The following is a 23,400-nucleotide window of genomic DNA, read 5'->3' as shown; positions in this document are numbered from 1 at the left end:
GAGGCTGAGATGGGAGGATCACTTGAGTCTAAGAGTTTGGAGACCAGCCTGGGCAACATGGTTAAACCCTGTCTCTACCAAAAAAAAAAAAAAAAAAAGTTAGCTGGACATGGTGACATGCACCTGTAGTTCCAGCTGCAGGTGTAGTTCTGGAAGCTTAGGTGGGAGAATCACTTGAGCACCAGAGGCAGAGGTTGCAGTTAGCTGAGGTCGTGCCACTACACTCCAACCTGGGCCACAGAATGAGACTCCATCTCAAAAAATAAAATAAAATAAAATCCTGATCCCTGGCCAGGCACAGAGTCTCATTCCTGTAATCCCAACACTTTGGGAGGCTGAGGTGGGAGGATTGCTTGAGTCTAAGAGTTCAGCAACCAGCCTGGGCAACATGGCGAAATCTTGTCTCTACCAAAAAAAAAAAGTAACTGGGCATGGTGGCATGTACCTGTAGTTCCAGCTACTCTGGAAGCTTAGGTGGGAGAATCACTTGAGCCTAGGAGACAGAGGTTGCAGTGAGCCGAGGTCACGCCACTGCACTCCAACCTGGGCAACAGAGCAAGACTCCATCTCCCAAAAAATATAAAATCCTGATTCCTGGCTATGCGCAGTGGCTCAAGCCTGTAATCCCAACACTTTGGGAGGCTAAGGTGGGAGGATCACTTGAGCCCAGGATTTCAAGACCAGCCTGGGCAATATAGTGAGACGTTGTCTCTATTAAAAATAAATAGGCTGGACGCAGTGGCTCACGCCTGTAATCCCAGCACTTTGGGAGGCCGAGGTGGGCAGATCACAAGTTCAGGAGATCGAGACCATCCTAACACAGTGAAACCCCGTCTCTAGTAAAAATACAAAAAATTAGCAGGCGTGGTGGCATGCACCTGTAGTCCCAGCTACTCGGGAGGCTGAGGCAGGAGAATTGCTTGAACCTGGGATTTGGAGGTTGCAGTGAGCTGAGATCACGCCACTGCACTCCAGCATGGGCAACAGAGTGAGACTCCGTCCCCACAAAAAATAAAATAAAAATAAAGAAATACATAATAAAATAAAATCCTGATTCCTAAAAATAAATGGAAACAACAGTTTTTACAAAATTATCTTAAGATTTTGCCAGTCACTTGAAGGAGATGAAAATAAGAGCAAACGTACGAGTTATTGAATGAATGAGGAAGAATCCTGAGTGACTGCTCTGGACCCTGGGTGGTTGGAATACTGGTTGGGAAAAGTCATTGAAAGGTCTTAATACCAGGATAAGAGAATAGACTTCGTAATGAAGGCAATGGGAAGACTTGGAGATTTGTAATCAAGAGAATGACTTGAAAGATAACATCAGACGTGAAAGATAGCTTAGAGGCGAGCGTGGTGAGTAGGAGACTAGTTAGGAAGTTACTATAATAATCCCATTAGGAAATGGAAAGGGTACGATTAATTTAAGAAAAATTTTAGAAGTAAAATTAAGAGAACAGTTGTGGTGACTGGGGGTGGGAGGAGAGGTGGTGAGGTAAGGCAGGGCATTTGAGAATGACTTCAACATTTCTAGTGTGGGCAGCTGATAGATGGGAATGCCATTAATCTAAAGAATACATAAGAATATACACATTTTGGACCTTTGAGTTTGAATACATGAAAATATACCATTTTGTATGTGATTAGAGTGTCTATCAGGTGTCCAGAAGGAGGTATCTAGCAGGCAATTAGAAATATAAATATGAACACAAAAGGACATTGACAAGGGAGAAATAAGGGCTAGAAAACTAAATTTATTGCCTTGACCATCTAGGTATAGTTGAAGCTATATGAATTGATATTTCTTAGGGAAAGTGTTAGAAAGCTATGGTTGGACCCTGGTGAATATTAACAGTTAAGAGGTTGTTGAAGGAAACCAAAATATGACACCCCAAAATATGTCTCTTTGACACTTATATTTTTGAGCTAAAGACAAGCTGCAGCAAATGGAAGAGCTCTATTCTCCCCCTTTTCCTCCTAAAGACAAAATATAAATTCTCCTTTACTAGAGACAACTCTTGTCAGCTCAGGGACGACTCCAGAGCAATCTACCAAAAAACCTTACTCCGTGGCTGGGCGTGGTAGCTCACCCCTGTAATCTCAGCACTTTGGGAGACCAAGGCAGGAGGATCATGTAAGCCAAGCCCAAGAGTTCAGGACCAGCCTGGGTAACAAAGTGAGACCTTGTCTCTAAAAAAATTTAAAAAATTAGCCAGGTGTGGTAGCATACACCTGTGGTCCCAGCAGGAGGTTGAGGCTGCGGTGAGCCATGTTTGGGCCACCACACACCAGCCTGGGTGACAGAGCAAGACCCTGTCTCAAAAATAGAACAAACCTCACCTGATTAGTTTCTTCCCATATATTTTTTTCCCATGGTTTCCAATCTCTGGAAGCCTAAAACTGTTTTCACTTCTCTAAAAACAGTCTTGTCACATCTTTAAAATTTATTGTTCTTTGTTGAAAATGCTATGTAACCCAGAGTTCCAAGACACTGTTTTGAGTTACCTTTCATTGAGATTTCTCCTGCTGTGATGTACACTGCACATATTATTGAACCGGCTTGTTTTTCTCTTTTCACCTATCTCTCCCATCAATAAACTTACAAGCGTTGAGGAGAAATTATATTTCTTCTCCAACATTGTCTAGGGAGCAGAATATAGGGAAAAAAGAGAGAGAAAGAAAGAAGCAGCATTTAGAAAGGAGAGCAGGAGCCAGAAGAGAATGGTATTATACAGTCTTGAGAGATTTTTCAAAGAGCAGTGGTCAGCAAGGTCCAGAGAAGGCTCTTATTCCAGGGCCGTCCGTGTACTTCTGCATGTCACCATGCCCTTCTCCAGATATACACATGGGTCTCACTCATCTCCTTCAGGTCCCCCTTTTTTTTTTTTTTTTTGAGACAGGGTCTCACTTTGTTGCCCAGGCTGGAGTGCAGTGGCACAATGACAGCTTACTGTGGCCTCAACATAGCCAGACTCAAGCGATCCTTTCACCTGAGCCCTCTAAGTAGATGGGACTAGAGATGAATGCCACCAAGCCCAGCTAAATTTTTTATTTTTTTGTATAGACAGGGTCTCACTATGTTGCCCAGGCTGGTCTTGAACTCCTGGGCTCAAGCAATCCTCTTGCCTTGGCCTCCCGTGAAGTAAACTGATGACATTGCAACCTCCTATTCTATTCCTGGTGCTCACTATCTCCCTTCTCTATTTTCAAAATCTTTACCGCTTCTGGCATACTAGATATATTTTTTGTTTTGTTTATTATCTGCCCTTTCCATTTTTATCTTTGTTTATTATCTCTCTATGAAGACAGTGATTTCTATCTTTTTGTTCACTGGTGAATCCTTGTACCTCAGACAATCCTTGATATATACTAAGCACTAAATATTTGTTGAATGAAAAATTGAATCATACAGAGAAGGTATATAAGATAAGGACTGAAAACAGCCGAAGGTGGTTTTAGTGCAAAGTTCTTAAAGTGTCACAGGATCAGAATTATAGTGGACAGGGAAGAGAATGAGAGTCAGGAATGAGAAGAAGAAGGATGGTAGCTTGCAGGGAGAAGACAGCATAGAGAGCCAAGGATGATGAGAGCGAGTCAGTGAAAAGAAGGACATTTAATGTGTGAGGAATAATTGAAGTCAGATGTCCTAGAGGAGTCAAAGAAAATGGAATCAGAGACATATGTTAAGAGGTTGGCCTGAGACGGAAGAGAAAGATAATGATGGGTGTAGATACAGGTAAGTTCGTGAATGCAAGGAAGGAAAATAAAGTGAATTCATACCTCATGGCCACTATATTCTCTGTAAAGTAGGAAGCTGATCTTCAGCTGAGAGGAAGAGAAAGAGAAATGTGTTAGAGGATGGAGAGCCTTTTGGTATGATTTTGAAATTGCTTATAGGTGACTAAGAATTGGCTAGCGAGTAGAATAAGGAGTGCCAGATAATATTGGCAGTCCCTATACTAGCAAAAGATGGATTTTAGTGTAGAAATCACTTGACAACTATCAGAGAACATTCTTATCTAAAACCTACTATTAAAAATATTCTAATCCACGAACTAAATTATCTGTAGAACACTTTTTAAAACTAGATCAATGCCAAAGCGAAAGTGAAACATTTATTTTCAGTAGGACAGCTATCCACTGACACCCTGATTTGTATTATAACAAATAACTAATACAGATATCATCAATTTACTTGCAACAGAGCAGCAGTTGTTCAGTATATTATCAATGTATGGTTTTATTGTGATTGATTTGAGAAATGTATGTAAGTCAATTTAAGGCTGGAAGAAACCCAAAGCATCCATCAAGTTTCGTCTTCTCTATAAGTGTTTTGTTAGACATAGAAATGAGTGCTTTGCCGTTTAAAAAATATCAGATTTTGCCCTGATTGAAAAAATGAGTCTTTCAAATAATCTAACATCTGCTTGGCTTTTCAATGAGCTGTCACTTGCATCTTAGCACAGACATTTGTCTTCTATGAGTGAGAGGAATTCGTTTATTAATTCATCTATTTTATGTATTATACATAAGTATATGGCATTGTTATTTTAAATAAAGGTGAGCCAAAATATTTACAAATTGCTTCACAGCAATTCAGGTATGGGATATTGGAATTAAAAAAAATACTTAATTTCTTTAACCTCCAGCATAAAAGAGGCATGAAGTCCTATTAAAGTTAAATTAACCCCTCACTTACTTAAGCTAAATCTGTTCAAGCAGACTGAGATTACTTCATTCTGCTTTAATACTACTTATTCCATTCAACTCCCCTAAACAGAGGTGAAAACCTATTCACTTTTGGCCCAGACTCAGGGGTTTGGATTTATTTCCTGTAAATCAGAGTTAGTTTAATCTATGACCCAATTTTTTCCATGTCTTGCCTCAGAAAGGATAAACATTCCTAAATTAGTGATCTCCAAACTTTGTTAACTGGTAGAATGTGCTTTCCTAAAGAAGTTGCTCATAGAACTCAGGGGCAGAGTCTATTCCTAACAAGTCTAATGAACTTAAGAGAGGAATAGGGCTGGGCTAGGGGAGGGGAGACTGCATAACGGATAGAAGGGAAGCAAACAAATAAAAATGTTTGCACTTTGCAGTTATTCTTTTCATGTGTTTCCCAGTCTTGCTTTCCCTTCGCTTTCTCTAACATCTTTTCCTCATTGTCTTAATGACCACCATGTCTTACTTTAAGAGTTGGTGCAAAGGAGCCACTTTCACAGAATATGCTTAGGGGAAGCTAATGAATCCCTGTCTTTCCTCATAACTAGGCTTCCAGTGGAAACTGCAGTATATAAGATGTGAAGCCTATTTGAAAAATGGCTTGGTAACCAGAGTCCGGTCCACTTTTTCCTCGTTTGGAAGACAGCGGTCCATCTCATCCCCTACCTTGTCCCTGAGCACGTGTACACAATCCTAAGGCTCCATGGGACTGTTTAGATGTACCTTTATAAATAGCTGTGACTAGATTTTGGTCTTTTAAATCACAATGAGAGTCTTTGCTTTTTATTATATAATTCTTATTTTTTGGTCTTATTCTTAAAACTACTTTGTGGTTTTTGAGCATTATTTGTTTTTGTTTTTTTTGAGACAGGGCCCTTGCTCTGTCACCCAGGCTGGAGTGCAATGGTGCAATCACGGCTCACTGCAGCCTTGACCTTGAGGGCTTAGTTGATTCTCCCACCTTAGCCTCCCTAATAGCTGGGACTACAGGTGTGTGCCACCACACCCAGCTACTTTTTTTATTTTTTGTATTTATTTTCCCATCTCGGAACTTTGCCATGTTGCCCAGGATGTTGTCAAACTCCTAGACTCAAGCAATCCACCCACCTCAGCCTTCCATACTATTGGGATTACAGGAGTAAGCCACTATGCCTGGCCAAGCATTATTTCTTCTTCTTAACTTTGATGCTCTCTTTTTCTCTAATCTTTTGATGCTCTCTTTTTCTCTAATCTTTTGGAAGTCACACAGTCTATCTGTTTACTCTTAGTTACTTTGGAGTAAACAAAAATGTCTTACACTATCTAAGCATATTTCTTCTTTTTTTTTTCTATTGCAGCTCCAAATAGATTGGGAGAAAATCAAAGCCAAAATTGAGATGGAAATTACAAAAGAAAGAGAGCAATCATCAAGCAGCCAATCCAGCAAGAGTATAGGTTTAAAGCCCTAAATGCCATGCGTATCTTTAAGAAATTTTATCTTTTGAAACACGTTCTGATTAACCAAGGGTAAGCATGTTTTGGTTGCTAAAGAAAAAAGCATAATCTTTAACCGAGTATAAGTACTTGCTGTGTATTTAGTGTAAAAGTACATGCAGAAAGATGAAACACAAAGTAATTGATGTATTTCTATCTTTTATATTTTTTAGTCCAATAATTAGCAAAATATTACTATGTACTTAAGAGATACCTGTGTAGTGTCGATTATATGTCAGTTTTTTGCCCATTACTTCATCCCTAAATCTTCAGCATGAACAAATATTAATGTCGATAATAAAACATTGGACTCTTTGAAATGTATGTTACCATTAATTTCTATTTGACCTCTAAATTGTAAAATGCCTCCAAAAGTTTATTTATAGAACAAAAATACATGAGGATGGATTTGTACAAATGTATAAAATGCCACTATTTATACACCAAGTTCATAGCAGCATTACTGGAATAGCAAAAGATGGAAACAGCTCAAGTGTCTATCATGAATGGATAAACAAATGTGCTATAATACATACAATGGAATATTATTTAGCTTTAAAAAGGAATGAAATTCTGATAAATACTACCTCAGGATAAACCTTGAAAACACTATGCTAAGTGAAATAAGCCAGACACAAAAGGCCAAATATGATGCCACTTTTATGAGGTACCAGCATAGGCAAGTTCACAGAAACAGAAAGGAGAATAGTGGTTGCCAGGGACTGCAGGGAGGAGGAAATGGGGGGTGGGGTTATTGTTTAACGAGTACATAGTTTCTGTTTGGGATGAACAAATTCTGGAAATGGATAGCGATGATGGTTGCTCAACATTTTGAATGTTAATGCCACTAAATTGTACCCATAAAAATGGTTAAAATGGTAAATTTTGTTATGTATATTTTATCATAATTTAAAAAATATATCTAGAATGGGCAAGAAGGATTCTCCTCATTCCTCTCTTGACTTGAGAATGATCAGTCAATAGGCCCTGAAGTCTGAATTTGTGAAAATTTCCTTGGGTGACAAACTTGTTTGATTACTCTATTTAGTGTATCCCAAAGTTATTACCACATAATCTTTTAAACAATAAAACAAATACCCCTTAGAAAGTCTTCTGCAAACCCATTTCTGAAAATGGTACATTATAGGGTGGGTATAGATGCATAGATATGGGATTATGTATGATATATATATATATACACACACACACAAAGGGATAGAGAGATTACCTCTCTTAACCCCCATTTTAATTACTATGTCTAGGTTTTTTAAATAAAAATCTTTTCTTTTTAACATGTTTCTTTTCTTTTCCGGAATATTGGAATATTCTGTTCTTGATCCAGATGAAATCTGATTGAGCAGTGTACTTACAAGTTGTACTGTGTATGTGTTTCCTATATTGTTATATTTCAATAAGAAGCTTAAAATGTTTAAAAATAAATGGTTAAAAGGTTTTATGTTATGTATATTTTACCACAATAAATGCAAAAAATAAAAAGTCTGTGTTCTAAACAATTCTCTCATATCCTAGAATTCAATCCAATTCTAACACTAACTACCTAGAATTAGAAACAGATCCCACAAGTTAAAGGGCAAGGTTCCCAAAAAGACTGCCTTTATTTATTTATTTGTTTATTTATTTTTTGAGACAGGGTCTGGCTCTGTCACCCAGGCTGGAGTGCAGTGGCCCCATCACAGCTCACTGCAACCTCCGTCTCCCGGGTTCAAGCAATTCTAGTGCCTCAGCCTCCTAAGTAGCTGGGATTACAAGTGCCCACCACCACACCCAGCTAATTTTTGTATTTTTAGTAGAGACAAGGTTTCACCATGTTGGCCAGGCTGGTCTCAAACTCCTGAATTCCTGACCTCTAGTGATCCGTGCTCCTCGGTCTCCCGAGGTGCTGGGATTACAGGCATGAGCCACCGCACCTGCCCTAAGACTGCCCTTATTTTAGACTCCAGCCACAATCAGAGTCCCCAGGCTACTCACACTTGTGTCTGACTTGGCTGCACATTTGGAGGCTCCCTCAACCCCACTTTAAGTTGGATAATTTGCTAGAAAGATTCCCAGAACTCACAGAAACACGTTACTTACAATTACAGTTTTATTAAAATGATAGAACTCAAGAACAGCCACATGGAAGACATGCATGGTCTGGGAAAAAGTTGGGGGAGGGAACGTGGAGGGAACATAGAACGTCCATGTCCTCTCCTCGTGGAATCGAGGCATGTCATCTTCCTAGCACATCAATGTGTTCACCCACTAGGAAGCTCCCCCGAGCCTTACTTTTCTGAAGTTTCGTTAGTTCTTTTTAAATTAGGGTTTCATTACATGGGCATAATTGATTAAAACATTGGCCATGCAATTAAACTCAGTCTCCAGCCCCCTCCTCCGCCCAGAGGTCTAGTGGCTTAAACTCTAATTACGTGGTCAGTTTTTCTGGCAACCACCCCCATTCTGAAGCTATCTAGACTCTCCCCTAGTAGTCACCTTCTTAGCATAATGAAGATATTCTTATCACTCAGGAAATTCCAAGGACTTTGGGAGATCTGTGCCAGGAACCCTCCTTCACTAGACCATATATATTCTTTGATTATCACAGACCACACCCTTGTCTTTGACCCAGGATCTTTTATAGTAAAAGGATCATACCTGACTGGGCATAACTGATACTCTTAAGTATTTGCATCTCTCCCTGTGTAAGCAAAGCCCAGTCCAGAGTGCCTACTCCTGTCAGGACCCACTTGTAGCTCGCCGATGGCCACTGGCCACTGGCATCAGTGTAAGTTGTTCTCTATGTGTAGGGCCTTCTCCCTGGGAAATCTGCCCCCTGGCCGTCTATCTGGAGTCTCTGTCTCTCTTTTTGGCAGACAGAACAATTTTTATTGGTAGTTTTTTCCTCAGAAGATGTAAGACGAGCATGTCTATATTCACGCCATCTATGTATTGCTGCAGCTCCCCCAGAGTCATTTTATGGACCCAGGTGGTTATATCAAGTGAATAAACTGGATATCTGCTCATGGACTCCAATCACCTTTTGATGCTGGAAGGGAGGTCCTCTTATGAGCACTGACATGTCTTACGTTAATGCACCACTCAGATTCCCATAATGATTTCCACAGGGCCATGCCGTGTAAGGGCATCCCTTTAATAGACCAATCTCCATTGCTCTTCTGCCTGACCATATGACCAGGCCACTGGCCACCGCCAATGAGTATGTAGAAACCCAAACATAAGAATAAATAGCATGCAATAGAGCCCACCAAGCTGATTTGTTTTTACATTCTACTCTGGGTGCGCTGGCTTATGCCTGTAATCCCAGCACTTTGGAAGGCTGAGGCAGGGGAATTGCTTGAGCCCAGGAGTTTGAGACCAGCCTGGACAACATGATGAAACCCCATCTCTACAAAAAAGCCAGGCGTAGTGGCATGCACCTGTAGTCCGAGCTGCTCAAGAGGGAGGATTGCTTGAGCCAGGGAAGTAGAGGCTGCAGTGAGCCATGATCATGCCACTGCACTCCAACCTGATGACAGAGCAAGATGCTGTCTCAAAAAAAAAAATTTTTTTTTGTTTTACATTTTTTGATCAGAGTAATGATGTTGTCTGATCACATTGGAACTGCTATCCATAAACCAAACAGCTATTTATTGATCAAACGAGCTGTTTATGGCATATTGTCCAAGTGATGACAGAATCTGGCAGCTCCTTGGGGGCTTCCAAAGGCAGTCCTAGGGGAAAAGTGTCTACCAGCTGATGAGTACACTACATCCCCCCAGTATGTATTCCTATACAAATCATTTCCACTTTATTATGGAGCGCTTCCAAACACTTTCTTCCTCATTAGTGTTTCTCTGACATCAACCAAGATATGATGGATATTACAGTTTTCAAAATTATTTTATGTCCTTCAGTCATAGAGGCAGTTTCAATTAATGTCTGACAGCAAGCTATTAATTGCCCCTCAAATGGGAATTCTCTAGTCCAACATCTAAATGGTCCAGTCATTGTTTCTGTGAGGCACTCATGGGCTTTTGCAGAAGCCCTCTGCTCTATGCAGGGTGATTACACCAAGAGTTTGTCCAGACCAACACTCCAGCTTCTATTATGGACTGTGTGGGGTTGGGAATCTCATTCATCCTCATTTATCCTGTCCAATAAATATGGCTTGATGGGTGGATTTACTTGGCTTGTTTTACTGTTGTCAAACTCAAATCATTAGATTTAGAAAATAAGATTAAGTATAGAGTTTGAAAAGCTCGAGGATAGCCACCCGGAAAACACAGATTCCAAAGGAATGGGGTCAGTGCTCTAAAGTGGAGAAGTTAAGGTTTCCTTTATAAAAGCAGAGACAAAGAAGTTTAACAGGGTTACAGCATTTTCCATACAAGGTCAGTCTCCTCATGCCTGTAATCTCAATACTTTGGGAGGTCAAGATGGTAGGATAGCTTGATGCCAGGAGTTTGAGACCAGCCTGGGCAATATAATGAGACCCTGTCTCTATTAAAAACAAAAAACAAAAAAACAAAAAAAAAAACATTCCTCCAAACTGGGATAAATAAAGCAGACTTTTAGGAGTCCTTTTAATGTTGGAGGCCCAGGAGAGGGGGTCCCATTGGTCCACCCGACCTTCTATAGTGCTATATTAAGATCTTTATTTCAACCCATCAGTGCCCATTTTATTCATCTCATTTCTTAATAACCATCTAAAAATTTCCACCCTGCTGGAATGAATCCTTTGTTTCTGCTGTCTCTTCTCATTGTCTTGTTAATTAATGTTCTTGATATCTTTATGACCCACATCAAAAAGCAGAGACAGAAAATCCAATAAGCCTTCTCTGTTGTTGAATTCTGTAAGAGTAAGTTTACATGGGGTGCCTTTGCAAAAGGGGTCCCTTTAATAACAGCATTTACCATGACTGGGTAATGGCCATATTCAGTAGATAAATATGCTGATAATCATAAAGCCAGTTTCAGTGGTTTGCATACAAAGCATATCAGCTGCTTCATCTGGGCTATTTCACTTGACATTTATAGAGAGAATCAGAAAGTCCTTCTCAAGGTAAATACACTCTTTACAGTGGCTTTTATCCAGTCCACCAAGCCAGCTCTTCCCTCTGGAATAACCCTGCTGTGTGTCTGGATCACATACAACCTTCTATGATTGTTCCATAGTGAGCTGTGGGTCCTGTATCAACCTAAACATAATCTCATAATCTTCTGCATTGCAGCATTCAAAACCAAAGGTACTTCCCCTAAATTAGATACTCTCACAGTCCACTTTGGTAAAGATTCTTCAGGAGGCTGATAACTATCCACGAAATGAAACAGCTCCTTCACACTATACCTACTGATTTCAGTAGTTTTATGGGTTTGCCCTCCCACAACATGAAGTACCCTCTAGCTGACCAGAGCTACCTTCTGTTGTCCTAGCATAATTGTTCCTTTTGGGGGTTGCCTGAGGCTAGTGGCCATAGCTGAGACTTACCAAAATCTGAGTTTGGTTCAAGGTCAACATCCACCCTAGCATTTTCTTTCACTCTCAACTTTAGCTATTATAGATACAGCCAAGGGATTGTATGTTTACTATATTTCTTTTTATTTTGTGTTTCTTTATGTCCCCTGTGAAAGGAAAATAAATCTTGGGACCCCAAAATCACTAAGCCAAGGGAAAAGTCAACCTGGGAACTATGTCAGGCAAACCTGCCTTCCATTTTATTCCTAAGTAAGATAGTTGCAAAAAGAAAAAGCTACATACCTCCCTCACAATTTGCCCACAAGGAAATTCCTTGTGGACAAAAGACAACTCAAAGTCATCCCTCTGAGGCTCACCTGAGACAAATGCGTATCTGATTGCAGAAATCCCATATTTCTCCCCTATCGTTTATGTAAAAATGCAGATTCACTGAGCAAGACTAAACTGTGTATTCAGTGGAAGGCTGATCAAAGGACTCAAAATAATGCAACCTTTGGTCTCTTATCTACTTATGACCTGGGAGCCCCTGCCTCAAGCTGTCCCTCCTTACCTGATGGAACCAATGTACATCTTACACATATTGATTGTGTCTCATGTCTCCCTAAAATGTGTAAAAGCAAGCTGTACACTGACCACCTTAGGCACGTGTAAGGACCTCCTGAGGCTGTGTCACAGGGGCGTCCTTAACCTTGGCAAAATAAACTTTCTAAATTGATTGAGACCTGTCTCAGATACATTTTGGTTTATAATTCAAATGATCGCCTTCCTTTGGAGTTGAGTCTACCACCATTTCTAAATTCCACTGATAATTTTTACCTTTGGTAACTGATTGCAGCACAGTGCAGTCTCATTAGGTATTAGTTATTAGATAGTCATCAAGAAACCAGATTCCTCATCCCCCACCCATTCATTCTTTCTGTTCCCAAGCCGAGTTTCTGTGAATCAGTGACGGAAGTCACTCCCTCAGTCATATCCAATGTTGCACTTGTATGTGCTTTTGTCTTATGCTTTAAAAAGTATCTATTGTAGAAGGTTTTCAGTTGGTTTAAAGCCAATTTTTTTTTTTTACATTTTAGAAGGGTTTGATACAACTTAGTGCTTTTGTATGTAGGTATAAACATTTCGTATATTTCATAAACATATCAAACAGAGAAGATTGTTTATCCAGAATGCTTAGGACCTGACCCTGTTACAAACTAATGATATTTCTGAAATATGATGATCCAAAAAAATGTTTTGGTATAGAGGGTATGGTATATAATATGGAACCTAAATTTTAAACAAGTTGTAAAGCAAATATACCTTAGGAAATGGTTTACTATAATAAAATATTTCCATGTGTCCCTATTGAAGAAAGTCTTCAAATGTCTGTCATTTTGTACATATAGAAAATATATACCTTTCTGAAAATGAAGCATGCTACATAAATCCTGTTTGGAGAAATACCTCAAATACGTTTTCCTTATTAATCCTTATACTGACAAAATTCAGAATTTACAATGTACATAGCATTAAGAGGTAATATGCAGCAATAACAATGTATGGATTCATGTTATTTACCAAGAACTCCTTGTTAATTTGTGGGTAGGATTTTGTGAAAATCACTTGTCAGGATTTCTTTTAGAACCATCTGGAAACCAAAGAAGGACACGCAGCAGCTCTTTTGGAAAGACTCATCATCTTCTTGTCCTTAGCTTGTATATCTTCAGTGTCTTCTGCTCAGTGGTAAATGATCTCTGGGCCAGAAAATTTATGAGGTTCTCCCAACCTTTTACAGTCTCTAACAAAGTCAATTTTTAAAAATTCTGTCTGCTTTACTTTAAAGTTACTCTGTCCCTGTGAATTGGCTTGAGCTGCTGGAATATCACTGCCTGGCCATTTGCAACCCAGGGGATCATACACTCAGCATGCACTATGCATAAATTTTTAAATGTAGTAATTTCTAAAACAGACCACTTCAAAACAACCATTTTGAAACAATTCAGAGCAATTCATGCTTTCAGGCAGTTCCAGATGTTCTAGATTATCTAAAACTCTTTTTTACTCTAATAATCTTCTATGGTGAAGAAACTTTCACATTAAAATTTTTTGTACTTTTAATTGAAAAAACATTTTAATTCCATGGAAATGATTATGACAAATTATTTTCCTAGTAAGTTGAGTATAAAGTAGTGGCTCTAAGCTCCTTTTCATTTTGAGAGTATTATCGCCAAAATAGAGAGTTTAAAACGACTCAGTCAAGAAGCAATAAAATATCTACCTAAAGTGTATTTTCTTGTCTTCAAGTCAAGGGCTGTACCAGAAGGCTACTCATTTAGCCAGTAAATGAGTAAACAAATAATGTTTACTTCTATAAAACATCAATAGAGTTTGTAAGCCAAGACCCTCCAAGTGATTAGCATTAAATGCTAGGATGTAATTTCATAGAGTAGGGATTAAGTAATATTTGTACTGTGCTGGAGAATTAAAATAATAGTAGAATCTATGGCTAATTTTCCAATGTTTCTTGCCCTGTCTTTCAATATACACCATTAACATAATATTAGTGTCTCTTCATTTTCTGTGTTTTTAAGGTAGATACAAATATGAACAACAAAATGCACAAAACATAATTTTAAAAGGATTATATTAATAGGTTCAGGACTATAATCAATTTGTCCTTAATTTAAAAGACAATATGAGATAGTAGCTGCTATGCAATGAAATTTTTTATCTTCTAAGTCTACTTAATATTAATCAGTCAAAATTATCAGAAAAGTAGTTATAATAATGAAGCATTTATAATTAAAAGTTGACAAAATCCCTTTTTTTGGCACTTGTTTTCAATGAATAAAGGATCTTTCCTCATTCTTGATGAATACCTACACCGCAAATAGCAAAATCCATTTATTAACCAAGTCACTATTGAGCACCTACTGTGGCCTGGGAACTGTTCTAGGTGATAAAGAAACAGTAGTGAGAAGAAAGAAATATTCCTGCTTACATTTTAATGAGTATGTATGGGGAGAAGACATACTATAAACAAACATTTTAAAATATAGTATTTCAGAATTAATAAACAGAGACAGCACAAGAAGGAGATAGGAAGATGATGGGGGAATGTCATTTTAAACAGGGTGTACTGTGCAAAGGCATACAGAGTGATATAATGGACTCTGGAGACTCAGGAAGGGGAGGGTGGAACATGGCTGAGGAAAAAAGCTACTTACTAAGTACAATGTACAGTAGTCAGATGATGGGCGAACTAAATCTCAGACGTCCGCTGGGCGCAGTGGCTCATGCCTGTAATCCCAGCACTTTGGGAGGCCGAGGCATGCGGATTGCCTGAGGTCAGAAGTTCGAGCCTGGCCAACATGGTGAAACGATATCTCTACTAAAAATACAAAAATTAGCCGGGCATGGTGGCGGGCGCCTGTAATCCCACCTACTTGGAAGGCTGAGACAGGAGAATCACTTGAATCCGGGAGGCAGAGGTTGCAGTGAGCCGAGATGGTGCCACTGCACTCCAGCCTGGGCATGACAGAGCGAGACTCCGTCTCCAAAAAACAAAAAACAAACAAACAAAACAAAACAAAACAAAAATAAAATAAAATCTCAGACTTCACCAATTATACAATTATACAAAAACCACTTGTATCCAAAAGCTATTGAATTTTTTTTAATTTAAAAATAAAGTCGAAAAAAGAATAGGTAATGCTAATAATAACAATATTAATAAAATAATCAACATTAAAAATAAATCAATAAATAGGGTGTAATGGGAAGGTGTCACTGAGAAGATGAGATTTGCACAAACACCCCAAAGAAGTGGTGCTCAATTTAAACTTCTGCAAAAAAACACACAGGAAAAACATCAAATAAATTCCTATTAGAGGAGCTTATGTTATTCCTCTGTAATTTAAATGTGCTAATCTATAAAAATAATTCTGTATGGTTTTGACATTAATGATCATCATCATAACATGACTTGCTTGTGAATAGATTCTATTTAATAGTCATAATAACTAAACACTGAATATTTATATAACCAAATAATTACTATTCAGGTCCACAATCCCACATATAAAACCCCTGGGTCAAATCTGTTTCAGAATTCAAATCTGTTTAAGAAAAATGGTGTGTATTCCAAAGTTCTTGATAACACTATGCGTTTGTTACAGAACATCCCCAGCAGGGTCGCAGCGATCATTCCCTAAACACATCAGTATTTCTGCCGTGTAACACACGAATATTTACATTAAGTGGTATAAATAAAGATAGTAGCTTCTTTTCAAGTTTTCTAGCTTTTCTTCAGGTTTTGCTGCCAAATGAGTTCAGATTGGGTCAGTTATGAAAAAACTTTTTGTAGTTCATAAATTTGCAATTCTTAAGTTGTGAATATGAGATTATAGATTTGTTTTGGAGGAATTGGAGTGAAAATTCGGATATATACATGGGCTTGGGATGAAAGGAAGGGTAAAAAAGGCTAAATCTTCATTTTTCATAGTGGAGAGACAATAGATACTGTTCCCCCACCATTGGTAAATAATAAGCATGTTATTTATTAATAGATGCATTAAGGTAAATACCAAAAGAGCCAACTAAAAGAGCTGAAAGTGATTGTTTCTGCAGAGGGGAAGGTTGAGAAGAACGGATCCAGTACTACTGTTTTTCACAACAAACCTTATAGAAGTATTTGCCTACTTAAATATGTGCATGTATAACTTCAATAAAAATAAACACTGACCTTAAAAAAAAGATGGGAGAAAATATGTGGACCACCTATTCGACAAAGGACCTGCATGTAGAACTTACCAAGAACTATCAAATCTTAATAATAAAAAACAAATAAGCAATCCAATAAGAAAATGGTCAAGGGACATGAACAGACATTTCACCACAGAGAATATACAGATGGCAAATACACACATGAAAAGAAGCTCCATAGCTTAGCAATTAGGGAAATGCAAATTAAAACCATGCCAATCAGAATGACTGAAATAACCAGTGATAACAAATGCTGGCAAGGACGCAGAGAAACTGGATCACTTACATTTTACTGGTGGGAATATAAAAATGCCATAGCCATTATGGAAACAAATATGACAGTCTCTTACAAAACTATACATGCACTTACCATATGACCAAACAATTGCACTCTTGGGCATTTATCCCAGAGAAATGGAAACTTATGTTCAAGTAAAAAGCTGTATGCAAATGTTTGTAGTAGCTCAACTCTTAATAGCCAAGAACTGAAAGCAACTCAAGTATCTTTCAATGAGTGAATGCTTCAACAAACTATGGTACATCTATATCATGGAACACTATTCAGTAGTAAAAAGAAAACAACCGGCACAACAACCTAGGTGGATCTCTAGGGAATTATTCCAAGTGAGAAAGGCAATCTCAAAAGGTTATACACTGTATGAGTCCATTTATATAACATTCTTGAAAGAAAAAATAGTAAGATGGAAAACAGATTAGTGGTTGCCAGAAGTTAAGAAGTGGTGAGAGGGAGAATGGATGTGGCTCTAAGGCTAAAAGGTAGCACCAGAAAGCCCTGTGATGATAGAACAGTTCTGTGTCTTGATTGTGGTGATGGTTACATGAAGCTACCAAATGATTACATTGCACATAAATAAAAACCTTAGGTGCAAAACAGTACTATACATTTACTCTGGGTACATCCACGTGAAGCAAAAATATGCAGAGAAAATTCTGGAAATATACTTACCAAACATTGGTTAAATCTCAATTTAGAGGAGTAGGCAGCGATTGAGGACCAAGGTAGTAGAGAGGACTTTGTTGTAATGTTCTCTTCTTTCTTTCCTTCCTTCTTTTTAAAGGAAGATATATATGTTATTACTTGAGTTGAAAATGTAAACAAAAAAGACTGGAAGGTTATAGTTCATTGGAGTATCTCAGTGTAGTGAGATAAAGGACAGATTTTAAGACTGAATTTTCTCCAATGTGTGTTTAAATATCACTTTTGTAATTTTATTTTTATTAAAAATATTTTTAATCAATTTTGGACATTTCTATTACACAAAAAAACCCCAAAAAACCCTGTACCCATTAGCAGTGAATCCTCGTCTCCTCCCCTATCCCCCACCCAGCCCTAGGAAACTACTAATCAACTTCCTCTCTTTACAGATTTTCCCCTCCTGGGCATTTAATTTAAATGGAATTATACAATGTGTGGTCTTTTGTAACTGGCCTCTTACACTTAGCACAATGTTTTCGAGGTTTATCCATGTAGCATGTATCAGTTCTTTCTTTTATTGCTGAATAATATTCCACCATATTTATATGCCACAGTTTATTTATCCATTCATCACTTGGTAGACATTTGGGTGGTATCTACTTTTGCTTGGGCTGTTATAAGTAAAGGTGTTATGAACATTTTCACACAAGTTATTGAGTAATAGATCTTTTTTCCTTTCTTCTTTTTTTTTGAGAGTTTATATATTATATATATGTGTGTATATATATGTGTATATATATGTACATATATATACACCATGGAATACCATACATACCATGGAGATGTATATATATATATATATATATATATATACACATATATATATGTGTGTGTGTGTATAGATATATATGTGTGTGTATATATATATAAAATATATATATATATATATAAAACATTTTCTTTATCCATTTGTTGATTAATGGGCATTTAGGCTGGTTCCATATTTTTACAATTGTGAATTCTGCTGCTATAAGCATGAGTATGCAAGTATCTTTTTCATATCATGTCTTCTTTTCCTCTGGGTAGATACCCAGTTTGGGTTGCTAGATCAAATGGTAGAACTACTTTTAGTACTTTAAGGAATCTCCACACTGTTTCCCATAGTGGCTGTACTAGTTTACATTCCCACCAGCAGTGTAAAAATGTTCCCTTTTCACCACATTCACTCCAACATCTTTTTTTTTTTGGCCATTCTTGTAGGAGTGAGGTGGTATCGCATTGTGGTTTTGAACCACATCTGATCATAGGTGATGTTAAGCATTTTTTTCATGTTTGTTGGCCATTTATATATCTTATTTTGAGAATTGTCTATTCATGTCCTTAAACCAGTTTTTGATGGGGTGGTTTGTTTTTTTCTTGTTGACTTGTTTGAGTTCCTTGTAGATTTTGGATATTAGTCCTTTGCCAGATGTATAGATTGTGAAAATTTTCTCTCACTCTGAGGATTGTCTGTTTGCTGATTGTTTCATTTGCTTTGCAGAAGCCTTTTAGTTTAATTAAGTCTCATCTATTTATCTTTATTTTTGTTGCATTTGCTTTTGGGTTCTTGGTCATGAAATCTTTGCCTAAGCCAATCTCTAGAAGGGTTTTTCCGATGTTATCTTCTAGAATTCTTATGGTTTCAGGTCTTGAGATATGATTTAAGTCCTTGATCCATCTTTGTTGGGAAAAAGCTGAGTGTTGGGGAAAAAAACTGAGGCAGGGCTTGTGTGTCTGACATAATGTCCTCTGGAATGTGTCTAGACTGGCTGGCTCCTTGCTTCTAGCCCTCCTACGCTCTTAGATCAATTGTATTCCCATTATCTCAAGTAGCAGAACTTGTTCCATATAAATGCTAAACCAAGAACAGCTGTAGACCATGCGCCTGCCCTTTTGACCCCCACATTCTCACCACCTGTTTCTTTGTTGAATTACCAATAAATAGCATGGGCTCCCAGAGATCGGGGCCTTCGCAGCCTCCGCAGCCTCCGCAGCCTCCGCAGCCTCCACAGCCTCCACAATCCCGATGGCCCCCTGGTCCCACTTTCCTTCTCAAACCGTCTTTTTCTCAATCCTTTGACTCTGCCAGACTTCGTCGCCCCTATGGCCTGGTGTTGGGTCTGATCACCCCAATACATCTTGAGTTAATTTTTGTATAGGTGAGAGATGAGGATCCAGTTTCCTTCTTCTACATGTGGCTTCCTGGTTATCCCAGCACCATTTGTTGAATAGGGTGTCCATTCCCTACTTTTGGTTTTTGTTTGCTTTCAGTTGGCTGTAAGTATTTGGCTTTATTTCTGGGTTGTCTATTTTGTTTCATTGTTCTATGTGCCTATTTTTATATCAGTACCATGCTCTTTTGGTGACTATGGCCTTATGGTGTAGTTTGAAGTCAAGCAATGTGATGACTCCAGATTTATTCTTTTTGCTTAGTCTTGCTTGGCCATGTGGGGTCCTTTTTGGATCCATATGAAATTTATGATTGTTTTTTTCTAGTTCTGTGAAGAGTGATGGTGGTATTTTGATGGGAATTGCATTGAATTTGTAGATTGCTTTTGGCAGTATGGTCATTTTCAAAATATTGAGTCTACCCATCTATGAACATGGAAAGTGTTTCCATTTGTTTGTGTCATCTCTGATTTCTTTTAGCAGTGTTTTGTAGTTTTCTTGTAGAGGTCTTTCACCTCCTTGGTTAGGTATATCCCTAAGTATTTTATTTTATTTTTTTGCAGCAATTGTAAATGGGGTTGTGTTCTTGATTTGATTCTCAGATTGGTTACTGTCGGTGCACAGCAGTGCTACTGATTTGTGTACATTAACGTTGCATCCTGAAACTTTGCTGAATTCATTTATCATATCTAGGAGCTTTTTGGATGAGTCTTTAGGGTTTTCTAGCCATGTAATCATAACATCAACAAACAGCAACACTTTGACTTCCTCTTTACTGATTTGGATGCCCTTTATTTCCTTCTCTTGTCTGATTGCTATGGTTAGGACTTCCAATACTATGTTGAATAAAAGTGATGAAAGTGGGCATCCTTGTCTTGTTCCAGTTCTCAGGGGGAATGCTCTCAACTTTTCCCCATTCAATACAATGTTGGCTAAGGGCTTGTCATAGATAGATGGCTTTTATTACATTAAGGTATGTCTGTTTTGTGCTGATTTTGCTGAGGGTTTTAATCATAAAGGGATGCTGGATTTTGTCAAATGCTTTTTCTGCATCTATTGAGATGATCATGTGATTTTTGTTTTTAATTCTGTTTATGTGGTGTATCACATTTACTAACTTGCATATGTTAAATTATCCCTGCATCCCTGGTATGAAACCCACTTGATTATGGTGGATTATCTTTTTGATACGCTGTCAGATTTGGTTAGCTAGTATTTTGTTGAGAATTTTTGTGTCTGTAGTTTTCTTTTCTTTTTTCTTTTTTTTTGTTATGTCCTTTCCTGGTTTTTGCATTATGGTGATACTGGCTTCATAGAATGATTTAGGGAGGATTCCCTCTTTCTCTATCCTGTAGAATTGTGTTAATACGATTGGTACCAATTCTTCTTCTTCTTCTTTTTTTTAGATGTAGTCTGGCTCTGTTGCCCAGGCTGGAGTGCAGTGGCGCGATCTTGGCTCACTGCAACTTCTGCCTCCTGGGTTCAAGCGATTCTCCTGTCTCAGCCGCCCAAGTAGCTGGGATTACAGGCGCATGCCACCATGCCTGGCTAATTTTTGTACTTTTAATAGAGATAGGGTTTCGCCATGTTGGCCAGGCTGGTCTTGAACGCCTGACCTCAAGTGATCCACCCACCTCAGCCTCCCAAAGTGCTGAGATTACAGGCGTGGGCCACCGCGCCCGGCCCCAATTCTTTGAAAGTCTGATATGATTCAGCTGTGAATCTGTCTGGTCCTGGACTTTTTTTGTTGGCAATTTTAAAATTACCATTTCAATCTCGCTGCTTGTTATTGGTCTGTTCAGAGTTTCTATTTCTTCCTGGTTTATTCTAGAAGGCTTGCTTATTTCCAGGAATTTATCCATCTCTTCTAGGTTTTCTAGTTTATGCGCATAAAGGTATATATAGTAGCCTTGAATGATCTTTTGTATTTCCATTGTATTGGTTGTAATATCTCCCTTTGCATTTCTAATTGAGCTTACTTGGATCTTCTCTCTTTTCTAGGTTAATCTTTTTTTCTTGGTCTATCGATTTTATTTATCTTTTCAAAGAGCCAGGTTTTGTTTCATTTGTCTTCTGTATTTTTGTTTGTCTGTTTCAATTTCATTTAGCTCTGCTCTGATCTTTGTTATTTTCTTTTCTTCTGCTGGATTTGGGTTTGGTTTGCTATCATTTAATTCCTTGAGGTGTGACCTTAGATTGTCTATTTGTGCGCTTTCAGACTTTTTGATGCAGCCATTTAAGGCTATAAACTTTTCTGTTAGCACCACCTTTGCTGTATCCCAGAGCAAAGGTTTGATAAGTTGTGTCACTATTATTGTTCAGTTCAAATAATTTTTTAATTTCCATCTTGATTTCATTGTTGACCCAATGATCATTCAAGAGCAGGTTATTTAATTTCCATGTATTTGCATGGTTTTGAGGATTCCTTTTGGAGTTGATTTCCAATTTTTTTTCACTGTGGTCTGAGAGAGTACTTGATATAATTTCAATTTTCTTAAATTTGTTGAGACTTGTTTTGTTGTCTATCATATGGTCTGTCTTGGAGAAAGTTCCATGTGTTGATGAATAGAATGTATATTCTACAGTTGTTGGGTAGAATATTCTGTAAATATCTGCAAAGTCCATTTGTTGTAGGGTATAGTTTAAGTTCATTTTTTCTTTGCTGACTTTCTGCCTTGATGACCTGTCTAGTGCTGTCAGTGGAGTATTGAATTCCCCCATTATTATTGTGTTGCTGTCTATCTCATTTCTTAGGTCTAGTAGTAATTGTTTTATAAATTTGGGAGCTCCAATGTTAGGTGCATATATATTTAGGATTGTGATATTTTCCTGTTGGACAAGTCCTTTTTATCATTATATAATGACCCTCTTTGTCTTTTTTAACTGCTGTTGCTTTAAAGTTTGTTTTGTCTGACATAAGAAAAGCTACTCCAGCTCACTTTTGGTGTCCATTCACATGGAATATCTTTCTCCACCCCTTTACCTTAAGTTTATGTGAGTCCTTATGTTAGGTGAGTCTCTTGAAGACAGGAGAAACTTGGTTGGTGAATTCTTACCCATTCTGCCATTCTGTGTCTTTTAAGTGGAGCATTTAGGTCATTTACTTTCAATGTTAGTATTGAGATGTGAAGTACTGTTCTGTTCATCATGCTATTTGTTGCCTAAATAACTTTTTTCTTTTACATCGTGTTGTTTTATAGGTCCTGTCAGACTTATGCTTTAAGGAGGTTCTATTTTGGTGTGTCTTGAGGAATTTGTTTCAAGACTTAGAGCTGCTTTTAGTAGTTCTTATACTGTTGGCTTGGTAGTGGCATATTCTCTCAGCATTTGTTTGTTTGAAAAAGACTGTATCTTTCCTTCATTTATGAGGCTTAGTTTCACCGGATACAAAACTCTTGGCTGATAATCGTTTTGTTTAAGGAGCCTAAAGACAGAACCCCCATCCCTTCGAGCTTGTAGGGTTTCTGTTGAGAAATCTGCTGTTAATCTGATAGGTTTTCCTGTATAGGTTACCTGGTGCTTTTGCCTCCACAGCTTTTAAAATTATTTACTTCATTTTGACTCTAGATAACCTTATGACTGTGTGCCTACATGATGATCTTTCTGTGATGAATTTCCCAGGTGTTCTTTCAACTTCTTGTATTTGGACGTCTAGTTCTCTAGCAAGGCCAAGGAAATTTTCCTCAATTATTCCCTCAAATATGTTTTCCAAACTTTTAGATTTCTCTTCTTCCTCAGGAACACCAATTATTCTTAGATTTGGTCATTTAACATAATCCCAAATTTCTTGGAGGCTTTGTTTGTTTTTTAAATTCTTTTTTCTTTGCCTTTGTTGAAT

The 23,400-nt window shown here is 38.0% G+C and overlaps 1 protein-coding gene and 1 long non-coding RNA gene across 6 annotated transcripts in view; both read left to right on the top strand.

Moving 5' to 3' along the window:
* The window catches only part of IFT80 (intraflagellar transport 80), a 142,240-nt gene extending 134,528 nt beyond the window's left edge, over positions 1-7,712 (top strand). For all 3 annotated transcript variants that reach the window (NM_020800.3, NM_001190241.2, NM_001190242.2), the window contains one exon: positions 6,063-7,712. In NM_020800.3, the coding sequence (NP_065851.1) occupies positions 6,063-6,173 (111 nt within the window). In that variant the 3' untranslated portion in view covers positions 6,174-7,712. The remainder of the gene's footprint in view (positions 1-6,062) is intronic.
* TRIM59-IFT80 (TRIM59-IFT80 readthrough (NMD candidate)) overlaps positions 1-23,400 on the top strand; it is a 258,294-nt gene that overhangs the window by 221,050 nt on the left and 13,844 nt on the right. For 2 of the 3 annotated variants that reach the window (NR_148403.1, NR_148402.1), the window contains exon 21: positions 6,063-7,712. This is a non-coding gene — a long non-coding RNA (TRIM59-IFT80 readthrough (NMD candidate)). Of the gene's footprint in view, positions 1-6,062; positions 7,713-23,400 lie in introns of those variants that run through there. The other variant, NR_148401.1, reaches the window with a different exon arrangement.

The sequence above is a fragment of the Homo sapiens genome, chromosome 3 (genome assembly GCF_000001405.40).
Source record: "Homo sapiens chromosome 3, GRCh38.p14 Primary Assembly".
Lineage (NCBI taxonomy): Eukaryota > Metazoa > Chordata > Mammalia > Primates > Hominidae > Homo > Homo sapiens.
Note: the sequence above shows the minus strand (reverse complement) of the source record. Positions and strands in the feature narration are given on the sequence as shown.